Source organism: Homo sapiens, chromosome 2 (assembly GCF_000001405.40).
Source record: "Homo sapiens chromosome 2, GRCh38.p14 Primary Assembly".
Taxonomy (NCBI): domain Eukaryota; kingdom Metazoa; phylum Chordata; class Mammalia; order Primates; family Hominidae; genus Homo; species Homo sapiens.
In genome coordinates, this window is record NC_000002.12 from 72,438,980 (window position 1) to 72,464,500 (window position 25,521).

Consider the following 25,521-nt stretch of genomic DNA (forward strand, 5'->3'; position numbering starts at 1 on the left):
AAAAGTTTTCTGATGCTATTACTCAAGAACTAAAGGCAGAAAAATCCTACCTCTGCTGCTTAGAAGCTGTTACCTTGGGTATCTTACTTAATTCTGTGTGAATGATCTTCATTTGCAAAATGAATAAAACAATTCTGCCAATCTCACAGGATTCTTAAAGAATAATTATTTGTAAAGCAACATAGAACAGTTAGTATATTCTATTGATATGTAAGGTTTTTTAAAGAAAAAAGTAAAATTATGCATCTTGGGGATATTTAACTAGGGTTCTCTGAATTTACTGAATTTGAATGCTGCCCTGTCTATCGAGGTGGGGAAAGTGCTCATGGAAGATACCCTGAAATACGTTTTCCATATTGGTTCCATTCTCCTCAGCACTTTCAGGTACACAAATCAATTGTAGATTCCCATGCTTTTTGGAGATTTTCTTCATTCCTTTTCATTCTTTCTTCTCTGTGCTTGTCTGCCTGACTTATTTCAGAGAGACAGTCTTTAAGCTCTGAGATTCTTTAATCTGCCTGATCTATTCTGTTATTAATACTTGTGACTGCATTATGAAATTCTTATGGTGTGTTTTTCAGCTCTGTCAGGTTGGTTGCATTCTTCTCTATACTGGCAATTTTGTCTGTTCGCTCCTGCAATGTTTTATCATGATATTTAGCTGCCTTGCATTTGGTTTCAAGGTACTCCTTTAGCTCAGTGAAGTTCGTTTTTATCCAAATTCTGAATTCTACTTGTGTCATTTCAGCCATCTCAGCCTCAGCCCAGTTCTGAACCCTTGCTGGAGAGGTGATACAGTCATTTGGAAGAAAGAGGGTACTCTGGCTTTTTGAGCTTTCAGTGTCTTGCACTGATTCTTTCTCATCTTTGTGGGCTTATCCACCTTCAATCCTTCAGATTGCTGACCTTTGGATATTTTTTTTTATACAAATTGGCCACTTCTCCATATGGCTGCTGTGGTTTGCTGGGGGTTCATTTGCTCTAGTCCCTAGGCACCTCGAATTTTTGGGTACCTGGAGGTATCAGCAGTGAAGGCTGAGAAACGCAAAGATAGCAGTCTTCCCCTTCCTCTGAGAGCTCTGTACCAGGGAGGTATGGACCTGTGGCCAGCCCAAACGCACCTGTAGGAGGCGACTGAAGACACTGTTGGGAGGTCTCACCTAGTCAGCAGAAATAGGATTGGGGACCTGCTAAAATAAGCAGTCTGGAAATACTTTCATAGAGGAATTGTGCTGTGCTGGGGTCCATTTCTGTGCCCAGTTGGCTTTGGTTCTCCAGGGTCGTAATGAAAAAGAAAAAATGTTAAGGACAGTGAGAAATAAAGGCCAGGTCACCTATAGAGGGAAGCCCATCAGACTAACAGTGAAACTCTCATTGGAAACCCTACAAGCCAGAAGAGGCTGGGGGGCCAATATTCAACATTCTTAAAGACAACTCAAAATTTCATATCTGGCCAAACTAAGTGAAGGAGAAATAAGACCCTTTTCAGACTAGCAAATGCTGAGGGAATTCATTATCACCAGACCTGCCTTGCAAGAGCTCCTGAAGGAAGCACTAAATATGGAAAGGAAAGAACATTACCAGCCACTGCAAAATACACTGAAGTACACAGACCAGGTACACTATAAAGCAACCACATAAACAAGTCTGCAAATAACCAGCTAACATCATGAGGACAGGATCAAATCAACACATTATCAATACTAACCTTAAATGTAAATAGGCTAAATGCCCTAAATAAAAGACACAGAGTGGCAAGCTGGATAAAAGACTAAGACTTATTGGTATGGTGTCTTCAAGAGACCCATCTTACATGCAGTGTCACACATAGGCTCAAAATAAAGGGATGGAGGAAAATCTACGAAGCAAATGAAAACCAGAAAAGAGCAGGGATTGCTATCCTACTTTCTGACAAAACAGACTTTAAAACAACAAAGATTAAAAAAAAAAGACAAAGATGGGCATTACACAATGGTAAAGAGTATATTTTCACCCTTTATCATCTGGTTATTTTGCAGACTTGTTTATGTGGTTGCATTATAGTGTAACTGGTCTATGTACTTCAGTGTGTTTTGTAGTGGCTGGTAACGGTCTTTCCATATTTAGTGCTTCCATCAGGAGCTCTTGTAAGGCAGATAAGGTGGTAACAAATTCCCTCAGCCTTTGCTTGTCTGAAAAAGATCTTATTTCTCTTATTTCTATTCAATAAGAAGAACTAACTATAAAAATACAACACACCAGAAGCTCTGGGACATGGCTAAGGCAGTGTTAGGTGGGAAATTTATAGCATTAAATACCCATATCAAAAAGTTACAAAGATCTCAATTTAAAAATCTAACATCACAACTAAAAGAACTAGAGAACCAAGAGCAAACAAATCCCAAAGCTAGCAGAAGACAAGGAAAAAACAAAATCAGAGCTGAACTGAAAGAGATAGAGAACCAAAAAACCATTCAAAAGATCAACAAATAAAGAAACTTTTTTTGAAAAAAAAATACAATAGATAAACCTTTAACTAGAATAATAAAGAAGAAAAGAGAGAAGATTCAAATAAACACAATCAGAAACAATAAGGAGGATATTACCACTAAACCCGCAGAAATACAAATAACCATCAGAGAATATTATAAACACCTCTATGCATATCAACTAGAATATCTAGAACTAATCGATAAGTTTCTGGACACATACACCCTCACAAGACTAAACCAGGAAGAAACTGAATCCCTGAACAGACCAATAATGAGTACTGAAATTGAGTACTACCACTTACCAACCACCCCCCGCCCAACAAAAAGAAAAGCCCAGGACCAGACAGATTCACAGCTGAATTCTACCAGATGTACAAAGAAGAGCATGTACCATTCCTACTGAAACTATTCCAAAAACTGAAAAGGAAAGACTCCTCCCTAATGCAATCTATGAGGCCAGCCTCATCCTGATAGCAAAACCTGGCAGAGATAAAACAAAAAAAGAAAACTTCAGGCCAATATCATTGATGAACATTGATGCAAAAATCCTCAACAAAATACTGCAAATCAAATCGAGCAGCGCATCAAAAAGCTTATGCACCATGATCAAGTAGGCTTAATTCCCAGGACTCAAGGTTGGTTCAACATATGCAAATCAATAAATATGATTCATCACATAAACAGAACTAAAGAGAAAAACCACATGATTATCTCAATAGGTGCAAAAAAGGTTTATCAGAAAATTCAACATCCATTCATGTTAAAAACTCTCAATAAACTAGGTATTGAAGGAAGATACCTCAAAATAATAAGACCCATGTACGACAAACTCACAGCCAACATCACACTAAATGGGAAAAAGCTGAACACATTCCCCCCCGCAAAAAATGGCACAAGACAAGGATGCCCTCTCTCAAGACTCATATTCAACATGGTAATGGAAGTTCTGGCCAAGGAAATCAGGCAAGAGAAAGAAATAAAGGGCATTGAAATAGTCTGCAAACTATCCCTGTGGTTTCTAGATTCTATATCTAGAAAACCACATTGTCTCAACCTGAAAGCTTCTTAAGCTGATAAACAACTTCAGCAAAGTTTCAGGATACAAAATCAATGTATAAAAATCACTAGCATTTCTATACACCAACAACAGCCAAGCTGAAGCCAAATCAGGAATGCAGTCCCATTCACAGTTGAAACAAAAAGAATAAAATACCTAGGAATACAGCTAAGTAGGGAGGTAAAAGATCTCTGCAAGGAAAATTACAAACCACTGCTCAAAGAAATCAGAGAACACAAATACATTTTTAAAAAGTCCATGTTCATGGAAGGGAAGAATCAATATTGTTAAAATGGCCATACTGCCCAAAGAAATTCATAAATTCAATGCTATTCCCATTAAACTGCCATTGACATTCTTCACAGAACTAGAAAAAACTATGTAAAAATTCATTATGAACCAAAAAAGAGCCTGAATAGCCAAGGCAATCCTAAGCAAAAAGAACAAAGCTGGCAGCATCATGCTACCAACTTCAAACTATACTACACGGCTACAATAACCAAAACAGCATGATATAGATACAAGAAAAGACACATAGGCAGGGCGCGGTGCCTCACGCCTGTAATCCCAGCACTTTGGGAGGCTGAGGTGGGTGGGTCACTAGGTCAGGAGTTCGAGACCAGCCTGGCCAATATGATGAAACCCCATCTCTACTAAAAATACAAAAATTAGCCAGGCGTGGTGGCGCACCTGTAGTTCCAGCTACTCAGGAGGCTGAGGCAGAAGAATCACTTGAATCTGGGAGGCACAGGTTGCAGTGAGCCAAGATCGCGCCACTGCACTCCAGCCTGGGTGACAGAGCGAGATTCTGTCAAAAAAAAAAAAAAAAAGAAAGAAAGAAAAGACACTTAGAAAAATGAAACAGAACAGAGAACCCAGAAATAAGACCATACATGTACAACCATCTGATCTTTGACAAAGCTGACAAAAGCAAGCAATGGGGAAAGGGCTTCCTATTCAATAAATGATGCTGGGATAACTGGCTAGCCATATGCAGAAGACTGAAGCTGGACCCCTTTCTTACAACATGTATTAGTTCATTTTCATGCTGCTGATAAAAACATACCTAAGACTGGATAATTTATAAATAAAAAGAGGTTTAATAGACTTCCAGTTCCACATGGCTGGGGAGCCCTCACAATCATGGCAGAAGGCGAAAGGCATGTCTTACATACCGGCAGACAAGAGAGAATATGTGCAGGGGAACTCCCCTTTTTAAAAACATCATATCTCATGAGACTTATTCATTACCACGAGAACAGTGTGGGAAAGATCTGCCCCCATGATTCAGTTACCTCCTACTGGGTCCCTCCCACGACATGTGGGAATTACAGGAGCTATAATTCAAGATGAGAGTTGGGTGGGGACACAGCCAAACCATATCATTCTGCCCATAGGCCCTCCCAAATCTCATATCCTCACACTTCAAAACCAACCCTGCCTTCCCAACAGTCCCCCAAAGTCTTAACTCATTTCAGCATTAACTCAAGAGTCCACAGTCCAAAGTCTCAATTGAGACAAGGCAAGTCCCTTCCACCTATGATCCTGTAAAATCAAAAGCAAGTTAGTTATTTCCTAGATACAATGGGGGTATAGGCATTGGGTAAATACAGCCATTCCAAGTGGGAGAAACTGGCCAAAACAAAGGGGCTACAGGCCCCATGCAAGTCGAAATCCAGCAGGGCAGTCAAATCTTAAAGCTCGAAAATGATCTCCTTTGACTCCATGTCTCACATCCAGGTCATGCTGATGTAAGAGAGGATTCCCATTATCTTAGGCAGCTCTGCCCCTGTGGCTTTGCAGAGTACAGTGTCCCACCCAGCTGCTCTCACGGGCTGATATTGAGTGTCTTGTGGCTTTTCCAGCTGCACAGTGCAAGCTATAGGTGGATCTACCATTCTGGGGTCTGGAGGATGATGGCCCTCCTCTCACAGCTCCACTAGGTGATGCCCCAGTAGGGACTCTGTGTGGGGACTCCCAACCCACATTTCCCTTCTGCACTGCCCTAGCAGAGGTTCTCCATGAGAGTTCTGCCCCTGCAGCAAACTTCTGCCTGGATATCCAGGCATTTCTATACATCCTCTGATATCTAGGCAGAAGTTCCCAAACCTCAATTATTGACTTCTGTGCAACTGCAGCCTAAACACCACATAGAAACTGTCAAGACATGGGGCTTGCACCCTCCAAAGCCAGGGCCTGAGCTGTAGCTTGGCCAGTTTTATTCATGGCTGGAGTGGCTGGGATGCAGGGCACCAAGTCCTTAGACTTCACCACAGCACAGGGACCTTGGGCCCAGCACATGAAACCATTTTCTCTTCCTAGGCCTCCAGGCCCATGATGGGAGGGGCTGCCATGAAAACCTCTGACATACCCTGGAGACATTTTTCCCATTGTCTTGGGGATTAACATAGGGATCCTCATTTCTAATGCAAATTTCTGCAGCTGGCTTGAATTTCTTCTCAGAAAATGGGATTTCCTATTCTATTGCATTGTCAGGTTGCAAATTTTCCAAACTTTCATGCTCTGTATCCCTTTTAAAATGGAATGCTTTTAACAGCATCCAAGTCACTTCTTCAATGCTTTGCTTTGAAATTTCTTCAACCAGATACCCTAAATCATCTCTCTGAAGTTCAAAGTTCCACAAATCTCTAGGGCAGGGGTAAAATGCCACCAGTCTCTTTGCTAAAACATAACAAGAGTGACCATTGCTCCAGTTCCCAACAAGTTCCTCATCTCCATTTGAGACCACCTCAGCCTGAACCTTATTGTCCATATTGCTATCAGGCTTTTGATCAAAGCCATTCAACAAGTCTCTAGGCAGTTCCAAACTTTCCCACATTTTCCTGACTTCTGGGCCATCAAACTGTTCCAACCTCTGCCCATTAACCAGTTCCAAAGTTGCTTCCACATTTTTGGAATGCAGCAGGGCCCCACTCTACTGGTACAAATTTACTGTATTGGTCTTTTTTCACACTCCTGATAAAGACATACCCGAGACTAGAGAATTTACAAAAGAAAGAGATTTAATGGACATACAGTTCCACATGGCTGGGGAGGCCTCACAATCATGGTGAAAGGAAGAACAAGTCATATGTGGATAGTGGCAGGCAAAGAGAGAGAGAGCTTGTACGGCTAAACTCCCCTTTTTATAACCATCAGATCTCATGAGACTTATTCACTATCACAAGAACAGCATGGGAAAGACCTGTCCCCATGTTCCAATTACCTCCCACTGGGTCCCTCCCACAACACATGGGAATTCAAGATGAGATTTGGGTGGGGACACAGCCAAACCATATCACAACCCCATTAAGAAGTGAGCAAAGGACATGAACACACACTTTTTAAAAGACACACATGTGGCCAACAAGCATATGTAAAAAAGTTCAATATTACTGATCATTAGAGAAATACAAATCAAAATCGCAAGGAGATACTATCTCACACCAGTCAGAATGACTATTATTAAAAAGTAAACAAAAATAACAGAGGCTGGTGAGGTTTCAGAGGAAAGGGAACGCTTATACACTGTTTTGGGGAGTGTAAATTAGTTCAACTATTGTGGAAAGCAGTATGGCAATTTCTCAAAAAGCCAAAAGCAGAACTACCATTTGATCCAATAATCCCATTACTAGGTATATAACCAGGGGAATATAAATCATTTTGCCATAAAGACACATGCATGCAAATGTCCATTCACTATAGAAAAAACATTAAATCAACCTAAATGCACATCAATGACAGACTGGATAAAGAAAATGTATGGGAGGCTGAGGCAGGAGAATCACTTGAACCCAGGAGGTGGAGGCCGCGGTGAGCCAAGATCATGCCACTGCACTGCAGACTGGGCAACAAGAGCAATACTCTGTCTCAAAAAAAAAAAAAATGAAAAGAAAGAAAAGGTGGTATATATACACCATAGAATACTATGCAGGCATTAAAAAAGAATATCATGTCTTTTATGGGAACATGGATGGAGCTGAGGCTATTATCCTTACCAAACTAAAGCAGGAACAGAAAACCAAACACCCATGTTCTCACTTGTAAGTGGGAGATAAATGACAAGAACTCATGAACACAAAGAATGGAACAACAGACACTGGGGTGTACTAGAGTGGGGAGAGTGGGAAGAAGGAGCAGAGCAGAAAAAATAACTACTGGGTACTAGGCTTAATACCTGGGTGATGAAATAATCTGTACAACAAACCCCTGTGACACAAGTTTACCTACATAACAAACCTGCACATATACCCCCAAACTTAAAATAAACGTTTTTTAAAAAAGAAAATCCTGCTTCAAACTAACAGAATTTAAGAATGTTGGCTGGGCACAGTGGCTCACGCCAGAACTTTGGGAGGCCGAGGCAGGCAGATCATGAGGTCAGGAGATCAAGACCGTCCTGGCCAACATGATGAAACCCTGTCTCTACTAAAAATACAAAAAAATTAGCTGGGCGTGGTGGTGCACATGTCTGTAATCCCAGCTACTCAGGAGGCTGAGGCAGGAGAATCGTTTGAACCAGGGAGTTGGAGGTTGCAGTGAGCTGAAATCGCACCACTGCACTCTAGTCTGGCGACAGAGTGAGACTTCGTCTCAAAAAAAAAAAAAAGAATGTTAGAGATTGTTCAAACATCCACCTATGTTGTATTCAACTCCTTTTACCACCTCTAAAAACCAAATTTATCTTTGGAAAAATGTTCCTCTTATAAAGTTCTTCATTATTTCTATTCCATTAAACTCTGAGCTAGTTACTTGAGGGAAGGACCATCTTTATTTCATTTTTGTATCATTAAAACTTAACATAGTGCCTCACATATGATAGACACCTAAGAAATGTCTATTAAACTAAGATCTATCTCTCTGGAAGTACCTAGCAATTATCTTGTAATGAAATCAAATAAATCTATTTGATATACCTTCAAATATATGAAGGTAGTATGTTACCCAGAGTCTTCACACTTCTATACCAAAAAAACTCAAGTCGTTTAGTCACTCTCTTCTTTATGAGCTCCAGTATATTGACATCATTTCTAAATGCAGGGCCAGAATAAAACTCAATACATTAGGTGTGGCTAGACTAAAATACAGCAGATACTGGACCACCATGGTGCTAATTTCAGAAAATGTATTTCTATTAATAATAATGCAACCTAAATTAACATAACCTGTTTTCAAAGCTGTATTTCACTAGTGACAATTTCTCTACACTCTCCAAACTTTGGTCATGGGATTTGATGCTAAGCTGTGTCTTTCCTTGTACTTGTACTTTGTACTTGCATAGATGAATTGGGGGATCCAATTATGGTTATACTTATTATATGCAATCTTACTTGCATTAGTCCTCTCCTCTAAAATACCAATGCCACTGACATGGTAATAACCATTCATTGTCTCTCACCAGAAATATTAGAACATTTGCTAAATGATTTCTTGGCCATCATTCATACTATACTCTAATCCACTCATTAAACTGCAAAATGACTGCCCCTAAATGCAATTTAATCAGTAACTTCCCGTATTCATTTATGCTTCTTCACCATTTTCAGTAGAGTCCAATTTCCTTATGTGCCATTTAAGGCATTCATGTTCAAGACACTATCTACGATACTAACTTCATATTCTACAATAGCCCAAAAAATATCCCCTTATATTCTAAAAGTTCCATGAATAATTTCATTCCCCTGTTTCTTTACATATACTATACCCTCTGCCTAGTGTTTTTTCCTTTCTCTTCTACCAGATGCCTACCATGCTACCAAACTGTTATATAATTTTTTGATCCTCTTCATCTTTTTGAAGAACATAATTGTCTGTCTCTAGCTAGAGAACACATCTCATTCTCTAAGTAAATGGTATTCAAGTTAGGTGATTAGGTAATTATTTCCAAAATCAACTTATAATATAGGTAATATCTTACAATGTGACAAACAATATATTTTCAATATTTGTCTGCTTCATATATTTTTATTTAAGCTATACTAAACAAGAATAACCTGGGGTAGAAAATTAAAGATATCTATTACCATTGTCTCCCAAGTAACAAAGAAATTTTACTGTGGAACACAGAATAAATGAACTAAATGTTAAGCCAGGCAACTAAAATAACAAGTTATATGTTATTTTATATGAAAGTAGAGTATAAGAATTAGCAAAAATGATTATATTTTGTACTACTAAAAAAAAAACTCCCTTGGTTTGGAGCATCTGGTTAAATCAATAATATCTTCAAATGTAAATGGCCCAAAACTAAGTTCTCTATAAATACTGAGTTCAGAGTTGTGTTCAAACAACTAGACAGGAAACTAACCACAGATCATTTCACTTTAGTGTAAGCTTCTGCCCAGTTTTGGATGAGACACTATTACTGTCACTGTTGCATCTGGGAAGATGGCTAAGTCTTTTGGGCCGATAGAGAGTGTCATTAGCACTCTTTTATATATTCACAAGTTTAAAAAGAGTCGTATGAAATTCATAGCGCCAGACTGTGAAAAAAGACAAAAATAAAACAAGCCTATTGTTTCCCTTAAACTTAAGCCTAAAAGAAAAATATACCTCAGCTCATATTATAAAGCTTTTGGAAATCTCCAGCCAGAGCAATAAGCTCTAAATTTGTTTTAAGCACTCTACTTTTGAAGTTATGTTGCTCATTTCACTTTCCAATTTGTCCTACAGCATTGTCAATTTTTTTTTTTTGAGACGGAGTCTCGCTCTGTCGCCCAGGCTGGAGTGCAGTGGTGCGATCTCGGCTCGCTGCAAGCTCTGCCTCCTGAGTTCACGCCATTGTCCTGCCTCAGCCTCCCAAGTAGCTGGGACTACAGACGCCCAGCTAATTTTTTTGTATTTTTAGTAGAGACAGAGTTTCACCATGCTAGCCAGGATGGTCTCGATCTCCAGACCTCGTGATACACCCGCCTCTGCCTCCCAAAGTGCTGGAATTACAAGCGTGAGCCACCGCGCCTGGCCAGCATTGTCAATTTTTTTTTTTTTTTTGCATTGCAGTTATGCAATAATAAAATTATAATGAATTTTTAGAAATGATCCCTTCCAGTGAAATTATATAACCATACAGGACCAATATAAATATTTTCATAGATAAGAAAAATACAAAAATATAAGGTAAAAATTCCTCCAAATTCAGGCCTTGATCTAAAATTGTCTTCACTATAAGTTTAATGTCTAATATGCTTTTACAGTTATTATTTTGGATGACCTTTAAACATTATACTAAACAGATGTTGTGGCAAACTATATACCAAGTAATTCCTCCTATATGGTTCCAGCACATACAGGCAGAAGCACAGGAATCTCTGGGTTGGAAGACTTAGAGTTCTAGTCTAATACTCTGTCCGACACATGGATTGCCTTTGCACCATCCCAGAGAATCAGCTATTCTCTGTCACAATGTTGTCCATGAATTAACTAGTTCATACTCTTATTTATCTCTGTCTAACTTCTACTTTGTAGAACAACTTATAACAGAAAGAGCAACTAGGTATTCAAATCTTACTCTAAATAAAATACAGCAAATTAATAAGGGTCAGGAACAACATTTATGGCCACCAGGTGTACATTCTTTTCTATCTATAATAATTTGACAATCTCTCCTTTGGAGAAAATAATAAACAGACAAAATCAGTACTCAAGAAAACTGTGACAAGCTCCCCAGAATTCCCATACCCTATTTATGTAGAGAGGTTAAAATGGCCTGCAAAGAGATCTTAAAGAAATAGAAAAAAAAATAGTAAAACTCTGGTATGTGGATATGATCACTTTGTCGGAGTGCTTCCCAGGTTTTCGGACTAAAAGCATTTAAGCCAAATATCTGTTCCAGCTCCATTAAATCAGAAACAGAGTGGCAAGTTTACTAAAGGGACCTGAAAGACAGAGGTCACATGACATAGAGGGTATAGACACATTAAAAGTTAATCTCACAACTATCACATTATTTTAAAAAGTAAAGGAATTAAAACAGTGAGAGAGTGTACTTGTTAACTAATATCAAAAGAGAGTCAATAAGACAAGTAGATATTCATGAGATACCCCTATGAAGATGTCATGGTTTGGTAGTTTTAGGTAGTGATGTTTTTTAATCAAAAGCAGATTAAAGTCCTATATTCCATAATTACAGGAATTCACTGAATCATGCAGAAGGCCACTGGAAGTTTCTCTTGACTTTCTACAGTTAGCATCAGTAAAATAATTGTGTTACATTCAGTGATCTTCCCTCAATAGCATAGAATAAGTATGATTAGGAATAGTCATAGTCATATCATTAGCAGTTGACTGGGGCCATAAACTAACATTAGAGCTAGACTAGGACTAGAATTTTTAAGCATTACTATTGAAGCCATAAACCTTATGCTCATTAGACTCATTCCCTGCGCTACTCAAGGGAGCCAGGTTCCACCAGGAAGGTAAAAAGATAAACAAAAAACACTGGAAGGATCCCCATGGACAACTGCTGAAGGGAAGGGAAACCCTAAGGAAAGATCACAATTACTTGTACCCTAGGGAACCGATACCTCCTATTTCCTTTACCACCTGCAACGTAGCATATCAATGTGATTCTTTTAATAATCTCACTGTATCTGTTTTACAATAGCAAAAATATAGATATTGTCAATATGGCACAAAGAATATTGTTTCAATGAAGAATCCTTAGATTTTACATACTTCCAGATGGAATGCGTGCTCACAACTAGGAAAAATAGGCACAAAAGAAAATTAGCCTTACAAAAGGTTCATGTCAAACTTCTTGAGAGTATAGAGTTAGGGCCTGTTTGTCTGTTGAAAGACTGCTTCCCATTTTCAGATCTCTGTCACCTCCTAATCCTAAGATTATTTTTCAAAGTAGTTATCAAGATGAAGATTAAAGGCAACTTAAGTAAAAACAAAAAATAGTAGGCCAATAAAACAAAACACATAGACAAAAACATGAAATAAAACTTCCTTGTTTTGTTACCATCTTAGAACAGTTAAAGACGGTAAATCATTCAATTGCAGAAATCTATAAAGGCAATAAGATAATCCTACATGACATAAAAATAACAAGTGGATGTCCTTAACAGAAACACTTTAAAAAATATGTAACATAATGCATTCAGGGATGTATTGCAGGGTAGAAAATTCACTTTTTGTCTTTGTGCCTGTGTGTGTGTGTGTGTGTGTGTGTGTGTGTGTGTATCCCTAATCACTTTTTAAGAAGGTAGTTTTTCCTTAGGAAGAGAGTGGACTTCATCTATCACCAAGGAGCTAAAGACCAAGAAGCCTGCAACGGCTAATTCAAAGACAGGGAGGTCCCGGGGGCAAGTACGTACTGTGATTTCCAACATTGTGTGTTATTTGTTTGGAGAAGTTCAAGCACTTACTGAAGTATATTAAAATTGTGGCTATAGACTACCATGAAAGTATTACAGAAGAGTGGAATATACCACATTCCTGTTGCTCATTTAACTGTGAACTCCTCACCCCACAACATGTACAATATATATGCTAAGGTATCCTGACACCAATTTGCAGGCTCAAATTTGTCCTCTTGTCAAAGAAGCAAAAATGTAGTTTAGACTGACCTCATCGCGATATTCCAAGCAGTAATATTTTCTTCCTTTTGAACTTGGATTATTACCTTTACAGTGCACTCCCAACATCATTCTTAATGAAGTGGAATTATAAGAAATACATATTTATAATAAAGAGCTGTGATCAAAATAGATGTCAGGTAAAGACAAATAGTCATCTGAGTTGGAGGACACTATTCCATGCATGATGTCCCTGTTAGACATTCCAATCTCATCATAACATTGACTGGATATTTACTCAATGCTGGCCATATTAAAATGTCTGAGATACTTTCCTTCAAATAACATGTAACATTAGTTCATAATAGGGGAAAATATAGAAAATAATATTTAAGATCATATATCCAAAGTTTCAAGTAGAAAATTGAGACAATAATATCTACAGGAGTTCACAAGAAAATCAAACCTTGGGGTATGAATTGTGGGAAAAAGGGTGAACAGTCATAAAAGACCTCATGGGGAAAACAGGTGTTAAGCTGTATTTTAAAGGAGGGAAAGATTTGAAAGTGAGATGAGAAGTCATTCTGAGAAGGAAAACCATGAGCAAGAATCTACAGCCAGGAATAAGCATAGTATGTTTGGGAATGATTAACAGATATATTTGGCTGAAGTTACAGCTTTATGTAAGGGAATTACAACAAATGCATTTAATGTGGATAGTAGTTATACTTTAAAATGTGGGGATTATTAAAAATTTCTGAACAGAGAGAGTAACAGACAAACCAGTGTTCTTGGAAGGCACATCTAGAAATAAACTGACATAAAAATAAACTCTGCCTATGTTCTTCCACTGCTGCTCTTCTTTATAATGATCACACATCCTCAGTTGTCCTTAGTTGTGCTTTATTGTTCCTGATCTAATCACAACCATGCTTCTCAGTCCCCTTGCCTAGAAGTTTGCTTGGAAACCTCAATTCAACAGCACTCCTACAGACCCAAACACCTTCCTTTAGACTTAGAAATATTAGGGGAAAAGCAACTAGTTTACTGTAGCAAAAAGAGTATATGCTTTGGAATTAGGGAGAACTAAATTTAAATCTGTATTCCAAAAATATATTATTTATAAGATCTTAAGCAATGATTTAACCTACCTATACCTAAATTTAATCTGTAAAAAGATTAAGTAAAAAGTAAAAAGGGGCTACTTCGCAAACAAAGATGAGATAAATGAAGGATACTGGCACGTAAAAGAATCTAAAAATGTGGATATTTTTTGTTTCACTTTGAATTTATAAGCAAAAGGAAATCTGAACTGAGAGAGAAGCTGTAAAGATCTAAAACTTTTTTAAATAAAGGAAATGTTTAAAGATTTTTAAAATGCCAACAACAATTTTGAAGAAAACTAAGAAGTCACATAACCAACATAATTATTTTAATTTAAAATATTTCCTGGTGAACTTTTTTCTCACTATGAACATGTTTTTACATGTTTGCAATAATTTGTCTTATAAAACTTTCATTTTATTTCTTTCATTTAACATAAGTGCTTTGCAAAGTTATTATTTAATTTCACAAATTAGTTTTCATAAATACATAACATTTCACTGAATAATAGTATTAAAGTTTATATAACAGTTTGCCTATCATTACACAGTTAAGGTTTTTAATTATTTGCTGATATTAGCAATGATGAAATAACTGTTTTCTCCTCAGATAAAACTCAACACCCCACAACTTTAGCATCAATAAGAAAGAATGCAAGCCACTTCATCTTTTAAACGTATTGTATTAGTCTGTTCTCACTCTCCTATGAAGAAATACTCAAGACTGGGTAATCTATAAAGAAAAGAAGTTTAATTGACTCACAATTCTGCATGGCTGGTCAGGCCTCAGGAAACTCACAATCATGGCAGAAAGTACCTCTTCATAGGACAGCAGGAGAGAGAATGAGTGCTGAGAGAAGGGGGAAGCCCCTTATAAAACAATCAGATCTCACTATCATATGAACAGCATGAGGGAAACTACTCCCATGGTTCAATTATCTCCACCTGGTCCCACCCCTGACACGCGGGGATTATTACAATTCAAGGTGAGATTTGGGTGAGGACACAGAGCCAAACCATATCAGGTATCAAAGATACTAAAGTGACCAAGTATAGCAATATCTAACATATTCTCACTGGAATCTCTGACTCTTACCAGGTGCAGTGGCTCATGCTTATAATCCTAGCACTGCGGGAGGCCAAGGCAGGAGGATCACTTGAGCCCAGAAGTTCAAGACCAACCTGGGCAACATAGTGAGACCCCATCTCAACAAAAAAATAATAAGTTAGCCAGGAATGGCAGCACACGCCTGTAATCCTAGACACTTTGCAGGGCTGTTGTGGGCGGATTGCTTGAGCTTGAGAGGGCGAGGCTGCAGTGAGCTGTTATCACATCATGGCACTCCAGTCTGGGTGACAGAGTGAGACTATCTCAACAACAACAACAACAACAAAAAGGAATAGAAAAAGAAAAGGAAATCAAGTATGAAAATTTGTAAGTGTGGAATTTTGCAGTATGTTAAATTCTAGATTCTCCTTATTTTCTATGTTATCAACAAAAATAGGATTAGAAGTAAATGGCTCTATTTGGAACCAAACATACTTAAGCTTTTATTTAATAATTACAAGAGCAGAAGAAGACTCAAAGGTCATTATCATTAAAGAGGCAAAGGACTACTGGCTGGATACTACCAGAAAGAACAGCTCTGGCTTGGTAATAGTAGCTTTATGGGGAGAAAAGTTCTAAGTAATAGCTCAACACACAAAGATATTTCTGAAGAAATACAAAACCTCTAAAGGATTTAAGTTTCTAACTAAACAAAAGATCCCAATACCACATTGATAAGAAGCAAATGTTTTTTTATTTCAATGTACTCTATGTAGCTCAAATAACGTAACTGTTAACTGCATGGAAACAGGAAACATAAATCAATCTCTTGATAGGCAGAAAAATCATTAGTAAATCAGTAATTTGTACTCCATCAGGGAAAACGAAAAAAAAAAATCTTGAATCTTGGATCTACCTATGTAATTAATGTAATGAAGAAAAATGTGGTTGTGTCCTAAAGGATCTGATGCCTCTAGCCCTTTTTAAGGACACCTGAAACTTCTTTATTTTGTTCCAGAGAAAGTCATAGGAATTGGGCTAAATTACAGTCATTTTTATCAGCAGATGACAGAATTTCCACATAAGGTGTCAAAGAAGGGAATTCAAGTTAGGTTAGAAACAAGCAACCCACTTATTGGTATATTTCCCATTACCAGATAGAGTTTCTACTTTATGGGGATGTTACCACAATTTACCACCCGTTCCGGGAATTGTTCTGGTCACCATGACCAAAATTTTATACACTAACAAAAAAGATTCTGAATAAGAATCCCACAGAGAAAAAGGTATTTAAATGATGGCTCTATGAAACATAGCTTAGTGCTTCTCATATAGAGTTTAGAGGTATTATATAGCCTAGTGGGAAGGAACAAGGACTTTGGAGGCAGTTTACACCCCAGATTCACTAACTCTAGATGAATAGTTTTTGACACAATAGTAAACCTCTCTATGTTTACTAATGTGTAAGCTAATCTAATTTTTCTTTTCTAATTTGTAAACTGGGAGAATAACAATGTTTTCAGAAATTTGTTGCAAGGAATAAATGAGAATATATATTAATACCTACATACAGGTACATTAGAATATATACACCTACGTGTGTGTGTATACATATATACATGGGTGTATATCTATAGACACACAGAGAGAGAGAAAGAAAAAGAGAGAAACAGAGAGGGAGAGGACACTTTGTACAGTACCTGGTATATGGTATGTACTCAAAAGATAGTAGCTATTGTTAAATGTTAAGAGACAGCTTGATATAGTGAAAAGAACATGACACAAGGAAAAATGACCTAGGATCTAGCCCCACTATTGATTAATTTTCTGACCTCTGGGCAAGACCCTGTTAGGCCTCAGCTTCCATATTTGTTAAATGGGGAAAATAGTGACTGTCCGTATATCATAGAGGTTGCCCTTTTGAAAAAAGAAATGGGATAATGACATATAAAAGAAATGTGAACATTACTAAGTAATAATGAATGCAAGGCATTTTATAATTAAAATTCTGTCACTTGAAAACAATACTCTTTCTTATTTGGAGAAACAAGAGAATATGGAAGGAGAAAGACCAATTCAGAATTTCAACCTAAGCAAACTTTTGGTCATTATCTCAAAATAATAGCTTTTGACTTCTCTTTTCTATAATTAAATGGTTACTTTTAATGACATATGACTCAAAAATGATTGTCAATGCCCAGGCAGGAATTCAGTTACTTTATTATTCAAAACAGGTAAACTCCATAAAAACTTACTATGCACTATTTCATGCAAGCTGCTGCACTATACACAGAAATACAGATGAATAGGACAAGGTCTTTATCCACAGGGTTCACAAGTCCATAGTTGGCAATCAATCTAATAGACACGATGGTATAATGGAAAAAATTTTAAGTCAAATAAATTTGTTTAAATCCTAACCCTTTCACCTATTTGCTGTATCCCTTACAAAGTACATATCCTCCTTGAGTTTATGGTCTCATCATAAAATGTAATAATAATATTAATACTTATCTGATGGGGGTATTTTGAGTCCTCATCAACTGGGATGACATATAACACATGTAAAGCATTTGGAACACAGCAGATGCTTTAATTACCATTGTCTCCTTTCCTGAATAAAGTACACAAATGAATGACATGTCCAGCCCAAGGTAAAATTTAATTCGTGCCATTTTAAAAAGTGCCACAAAGGAAGATGTCACATCTGGTTAGGAGAACTGGTAAGGCCTCATAGAAGGTGTGGTCCTTGAAATGAACCTTGAAGTATGTAAGATTTTCAACACACATAGTTAAAGGGCAGAAGCAGTAAAAGTAGACGAAAGGCATGGGGGGGAAAAAAAAAAAAGACCCAGGGTAGAAAACAGTTGGGTGTGCTTAACAAAGAGCATTACTTCATTATGGGAGGAGAATCTTTGGTAAATGGAAAACAGAGACAGAGACAGAAAAAAGACAGAAAGGTAGTTTAAGGTCCCATTATGAAAAGTCTTGATGGACACAGAAAACATTTTGTACTTAATGGGAGTACTGACAGTTTGTACTGACAGTTCTTCACTAGCAGCATAATTTGGTTAGGTCGGAGATGGCAGCAATTCCTGGAAATAAATTCAGTACTAAAAGAAATGTCAGTTTTGAAAGGGTTTTAAATGGGAAGAATTTCAGAAACTTTTATGTAGGAAATAATTTTCTCTTAAGGATGACCTAAGAGAAAGTAAGGCCAGGGATAGGTATCATTGTATTACTAGACAAAGAAACTAGGAGAATTTCCACGCTTAACCCACAAACCAAGGTCGGCTATGAGAGATCTTGCCCTATGTCATACAAATTAACATTAACAACAGACAGAGAAAACAAATTCAGGATTCTATCTTCTGGGTCTGTTACTTGAGACAGCATTTCCTCTCTTAAGCATTTCTGAAAGATAATTATCAGGATAACAAGAATAAATTCTCAAAAACATGCTCTTACGCTGAGCATGCAAAATGGGTAACTGTGTATGCAATTGTAAATTATACAACTGAAGTCTGAAAAAAAATGTCTGTGTACTTACTTCATCTGTTAACTCAAGGGAAACAGTAAGATTTAAAAACCCTAAATGTGGAAAATATTATTATAATCATTTCTGGGTGCCTCATGAAGATAGGCAGGCTGCCTAAGTCACAAAAACTTCAAGGGAAAAAACAGTTGCAAAATTAAATAATTTTCTCCTCTGACCACTGCCTATCTAACAATGAGAATAATCTGCAAACAAACACACTCGGATTCTCCCTCTCCCTCTCTCTCTGTGTCACACACAAACACACTTCTGGACACTGACGTATTCCGTTGGCTATGTTGCTGCTGTGATGTGGTAAAATATCCCTGAGAATTAAGAGAAACTGGGGATTCCAAAATGTAAGAGAACAAGACAGAATTTGCCTTGTCTTTCCAGTCCTCTCTATATACATTTTTTCTATCAATCAATCCCTCTCTGAGAGAGAGCCACTTCTGTCAGGGAATTTCAAATATGAAAAGAAAATATTTATAGTAAGTAAAAGACAAATGATTTGGGTTCTTTTTCAGAAACGAACTCTTTTCTCTCCCATTCTTTCTCGAATAATGCCCGAAGGCAAATCTTAGACACAGCTCTGTTTTGTGACTAATACAGGGTTCCATGAGGAAATTATGTAGCATTCTAGGGAAGATAAACACAAATGTTAGGCAATCTATTTTGTGGAAACCCAGATGGGGTAGTTTAAGAAGTCATCTGATTCTAGAGAATATAATGGTTGGTGAATCCAATTACTTTTAAAAGTGTAGCTTCAGAAAAGTGTAGACAAGACAGAAATATGGCACCAATGGAAGCAATATTGAGGACTTAAGCCTGTCAGTTACTTCCTACTTTGATTCTGAATGGTACATGGTAACTGGTTCTACAGCCTGAGTGGTAGAATCAACTCTATCCACACTGAGACGTTTTATAGTATTTAGGTAAAAACGACAGTTTAGAATAAACAAAAGAGGGGGAAATAAACCTCAATTAGTTATTTACAGTACAGCCTTGCAAGAAAGTTCACAACTCTACAGGTAAAAGCATGCATTTTAATTCAGACAAGCACCAGGTTTGATCCACATTACTGCTTCTAAATGACCTAGAGGTTAAAGTAAGGAGTACAAAGTGTGGTGCTGAAATATGACAGCATGATGAAATGGGGACAGGTGGGCTGGCAAAAGCAATTAAAAAATATAAATTAGTAATTAAACACAACAATTCTTGAGGTGGAAAACAATTATTCTAAATATCACCTCCACATACCCCCAGCATTATAAAAGCTGCAGATGTTTCAATTCAGAAAACATTTTCTAAAAACACAAACAAAAAGGAAAACCTAAAAGCTACAAAGAAATAAGGATAAACCCAGCATATAAACAGAACCAAAGACAAAAACCACATGATTATCTCAATAGAGGCAGAAAAGGCCTTTGACAAAATTCAACAACCTTCATGCTAAAAACTCTCAATAAATTAGGTATTGATGGGACGTATCTCAAAATAATAAGAGCTATCTATGACAAACCCACAGCCAATATCATACTGAATGGGCAAAAACTGGAAGCATTCTCTTTGAAAACTGGCACAAGACAGGGATGCCCTCTCTCACCACTCCTGTTCAACATAGTGTTGGAAGTTCTGGCCAGGGCAATTAGGCAGGAGAAGGAAATAAAGGGTATTCAATTAGGAAAAGAGGAAGTCAAATTGTCCCTGTTTGAAGATGACAAGATTGTATATCTAGAAAAACCCATTGTCTCAGCCCAAAATCTCCTTAAGCTGATAAGCAACTTCAGCAAAGTCTCAGGATACAAAATCAATGTACAAAAGTCACAAGCATTCTTATACACCAATAACAGACAAACAGAGAGCCAAATCATGAGTGAACTCTCATTCACAATTGCTTCAAGGAGAATAAAATACCTAGGAATCCAACTTACAAGGGATGTGAAGGACCTCTTCAAGGAGAACTACAAACCACTGCTCAAGGAAATAAAAGAGGATACAAACAAATGGAAGAACATTCCATGCTCATGGGTGGGAAGAATGAATATCGTGAAAATGGCCATACTGCCCAAGGTAATTTATAGATTCAATGCCATCCCCATCAAGCTACCAATGACTTTCTTCACAGAATTGGAAAAAACTACTGTAAAGTTCATATGGAACCAAAAAAGAGCCCACATCGCCAAGTCAATCCTAAGCCAAAAGAACAAAGCTGGAGGCATCATGCTACCTGACTTCAAACCATACTATAAGGCTACAGTAACCAAAACAGCATGGTACTGGTACCAAAACAGAGATATAGATCAATGGAACAGAACAGAGCCCTCAGAAATAACGCTGCATATCTACAACTATCTGATCTTTGACAAACCTGAGAAAAACAAGAAATGGGGAAAGGATTCCCTATTTAATAAATGGTGTTGGGAAAACTGGCTAGCCATATGTAGAAAGCTGAAACTGGATCCCTTCCTTACACCTTATACAAAAATTAATTCAAGATGGATTAAAGACTTAAACGTTAGACCTAAAATCATAAAAACCCTAGAAGAAAACCTAGGCAATACCATTCAAGGACACAGGCATGGGCAAGGACTTCATGTCTAAAACACCAAAAGCAATGGCAACAAAAGACAAAATTGACAAATGGGATCTCATTAAACTAAAGAGCTTCTGCACAGCAAAAGAAACTACCATCAGAGTGAACAGGCAACCTACAAAATGGGAGAAAATTTTCGCAACCTACTCATCTGACAAAGGGCTAATATCCAGAATCTACAATGAACTCAAACAAATTTACAAGAAAAAAACAAACAACCCCATCAAAAAGTGGGTGAAAGACATGAACAGACACTTCTCAAAAGAAGACATTTATGCAGCCAGAAAACACATGAAAAAATGCTCACCATCACTGGTCATCAAAGAAATGCAAATCAAAATCACAATGAGATACCATCTCACACCAGTTAGAATGGCAATCATTAAAAAATCAGGAAACTACAGGTGCTGGAGAGGATGTGAAGAAATAGGAACACTTTTACACTGTTGGTGGGACTGTAAACTAGTTCAACCATTGTGGCAGTCAGTGTGGTGATTCCTCAGGGATCTAGAACTAGAAATACCATTTGACCCAGCCATCCCATTACTGGGTATATACCCAAAGGACTATAAATCATGCTGCTATAAAGACACATGCACACGTATGTTTATTGCGGCACTATTCACAATAGCAAAGACTTGGAACCAACCCAAATGTCCAACAATGATAGACTGGATTAAGAAAATGTGGCACATATACACCATAGAATACTATGCAGCCATAAAAAATGATGAGTTCATGTCCTTTGTAGGGACACGGATGAAACTGGAAATCATCATTCTCAGTAAACTATGGCAAGGACAAAGAACCAAACACCGCATGTTCTCATTCATAGGTGGGAATTGAACAATGAGAACACATGGACACAGGAAGGGGAACATCACACTCTGGGGACTGTTGTGGGGTGGGGGGAGGGGGGAGGGATAGCATTAGGAGATATACCTAATGCTAAATGACGAGTTAATGAGTGCAGCACACCAGCACGGCACATGTATACATATGTAACTAACCTGTACATTGTGCACATGTACCCTAAAACTTAAAGTATTAAAAAAAAAAAAAGAAATAAGGATAAACCATGGAGTATACAATTCTAGGCTTGCACTGTACATAATATAGATATTTAATTTGTGTATATATTAATTAAAATAAGATCACATCTCTTTTTCCAGTTAAGAAATAACGAATATATTTTTAATGAATAAATATAAATTTACATTAATTTAATGAATATCACATTATATGAATATACAATAATTTAGTTTGTGAACACATTTGTTTGTTGGATTTTTAATTTATACCTACTCCTCGCTATACAAAATACATTGTATTAAATATAGTTACATCTGAATATTATAATACAATCATGATTATTTCATTAAGTTCAAATTCTAAAAGGGGAATTACATAGTAAAAAGGTAAGCACATTTTAAGGGGTTTCTGAGGCATATTGAAAAACTGACTCCAAAAAGACTACAATAACTAGACCCCTAGCAGCAGGTATGAAAATACCTATTTCCACAAATATTTCTTATAAACAAGGAGTGTTACCATTTTCTTATTTCTGAGTAGTTTATAGTCAAAAATATCACACAAGCTTAATTTGTATGTCTTATTAATAGAGTTACAAATTATGTTCATGTTATCATTTTTTACCAAATATTGTCCATTTTTGCTTACAAATGAATTTCAGAATGATTTCATTAAGATTCTTCCCTAAACAAATTTACTTGATACTCACTGCAATTAGATTAAATTTGAAAAAACTTTCTACAGAATGAAATACTCCCATCCTGGAATACCATATATATTTGTGCATAAGAAAGTCTCTTTTATATTACTCTGTGATGTTGTCACATTATTTCTAAATTGACTTGCTAAGTAGCTGCATAGAAAAATTATATCTATGTCCCAATAGTAAATAAGACACTTTTGACACTATATTTTCTATGTGGGCATTGCTAATATAAGAAAAGTTTATTTGTTTTCTAAGTGAATCATCTAACCTAAACTCTTATTGGTCTTAATGAATTTTTAGTATGTTCTATTTAGATAATAATAACCTATGAATAATAATATGCATGTGCTATGGTTTGAAATGTTTGAGCCTTGCCAAAATTCATATTGAAATTTAATCCCCAATGCAACTTTGTTATTTTTTTTAATTTTTAATTTTTGTGGGGGAGGGCACAAAAATTTCAGAAGTGATTACATCACTCATTAATTGGATTAGTGCCTTATAGAAGGGATTGGGGGAGTGAGTTTGTCCTTTTTGCCTTCTCTGCCACGTAAGGATACAGAGGTGCCATTTATGAGTAACAGGACTTTATCAGACACTGAATCTGCTGACATCTTAATATTGGACTTTGCAGCCTCCAGAACTGTGAGAAACAAATTTCTGTTGTTTATAAATTTCTCAGTCTACAGTATCTTGTTATGGGAGCAGGAATGGACTAAGACATGCATGGCTCATTATAATGTAATTTATTCTTTTTTTACATTTATTTTATAGAACTTCTAAAGTGTTGGTGAGAAGCATCTTCACCCAATTCCTGTTGTCAATGAAAATAAATGTTTTATTGTTCTACTGTTCAATCTATGGTGGCCACTAAATTTCAAATAGATGTTCTTTATTTTGTTATTAAAATATTATACTGCTTGGAATTTAGTAAACTTTGTTTTTAAATCAAGAATGTAGCCTGGATGTAATAAAATGTCTTTCTAGAATACATCAAGAAACTGTATCTCCCTCACCTAGTAATATGATAAATTATATTAACATATTTTTTTAAAATATCAAACCATCCTTGCATTTCTGGAATAAATCCTACACACTAGTACAAAATTACTTTCTTAAAACACTGGGAATTGACTTGCTAAAATTTTATTTATTTTACTTTTATCCATAATTGTGAGATTAACTCATAGTTTTTTTGTGTGTGCTCTTTTTGTCTGGCTTTGGTATCAGGATAAAGCTAGACAAAATGACATAATTTTCTGCAGATAAATGCTCCCACTAGGAACAACTAGGAGAGGAAGTAAAACATGTAGAAAAAACATATTAAAAGGCATCAGGTGCTGTGAAGCAATGAAGACTAAAGGGAATAAAACTGCAGAGAGGACAAAACCTTTTAAAGGTGAGGTGAAAATCTGCAGCTTTCCTTGTGGGCATTTGAGGAACGTAGACAAGGGCAACAGACTGAGAATCTTAAAACCAGGCAGAGACTAACTACTAGGGGGCGAAAAAAACTTGGAATCTTTGCTGCTTCCAACAGACTAGAGTGCCACAGTTAGAGGTTTGAGGACTAGTTTTACCCTCAAGATATTTACTGAATTCTAAAGCTAAACGGCTGAGGAAAATAAGGGTTTAAGCCAAAATCTTTGAAAAGCAAGGAGATTTCTCACAGTTTCACAGTGTTTCAGAGAAAAAGACTCACTAGTAGAAGAATGCCTAAAAATGACAGGAGCTATCTTAGTCCATTCAGAATAATGTAACAAAATCCCATAGACTGGTAGCTTATAAACAAAAGAATTCTCACAGTTCTGGAGGCTTGGAAGTCCAACATCAAGGTATCAGCAGATTCGGTGTCTGATGAAGGCCTATTTCCTAGTGCGAAATAAAAAAGGAGTCTTCTTCCTGTATCCCCGTATCCTCACATGGCCACAAGGAACAAGGCAGCTCTCTGAAGTCTCTTTTATAAGTATACTAATCCCATTTGCGAGGCTCTACCATCATAATCTATCACCTCCCAAGGCCTCACCTCCTAATGTAATCACACTGGTTATTAGATTCAACATATGATTTTTTGGGGTACACAAACATTCAGATCACATAGGAGCTGAAACCTCATTAGGGATGGTAAAGTAACACTGACAATCCCCAACACTTTTTTTCCCATCAGCAATTGCTGATACTGGGTACTGCTAAGTCTCCTTCTCAAGACATTTACCAGATTCTAAAACGAAAGAGTACAGGAGGCTGAACAGACAAGGTTTCTGTGAAGAGCAGGAATTTCTATAGTCCTCTTTGGTGCTAAAAAGACAATGACATATCAGGCAGTTTTTAAAAGCTCTGCAGAGCCATATCCTACCAACAAGGGCAAACAAAGTACACTACAACTGCAACCCAATATTAATCCAAATCAGTCCATGATGGTACTAAGGTGGTCAGCTTCAAACCACAACCCACCTGC

At 37.0% G+C, this 25,521-nt stretch overlaps 1 protein-coding gene across 13 annotated transcripts in view; it reads right to left on the bottom strand.

Moving 5' to 3' along the window:
• Positions 1-25,521, bottom strand: part of EXOC6B (exocyst complex component 6B) — a 650,050-nt gene that overhangs the window by 262,996 nt on the left and 361,533 nt on the right. The window contains exon 19 of one of the 13 annotated variants that reach the window (XM_011532712.4): positions 22,492-25,361. The exons of the other annotated variants lie outside the window; for them this stretch is intronic. Within the exon in view, the coding sequence (XP_011531014.1) occupies positions 25,344-25,361 (18 nt within the window). The 3' untranslated portion in view covers positions 22,492-25,343. Of the gene's footprint in view, positions 1-22,491; positions 25,362-25,521 lie in introns of those variants that run through there. 13 annotated transcript variants of the gene reach the window in all.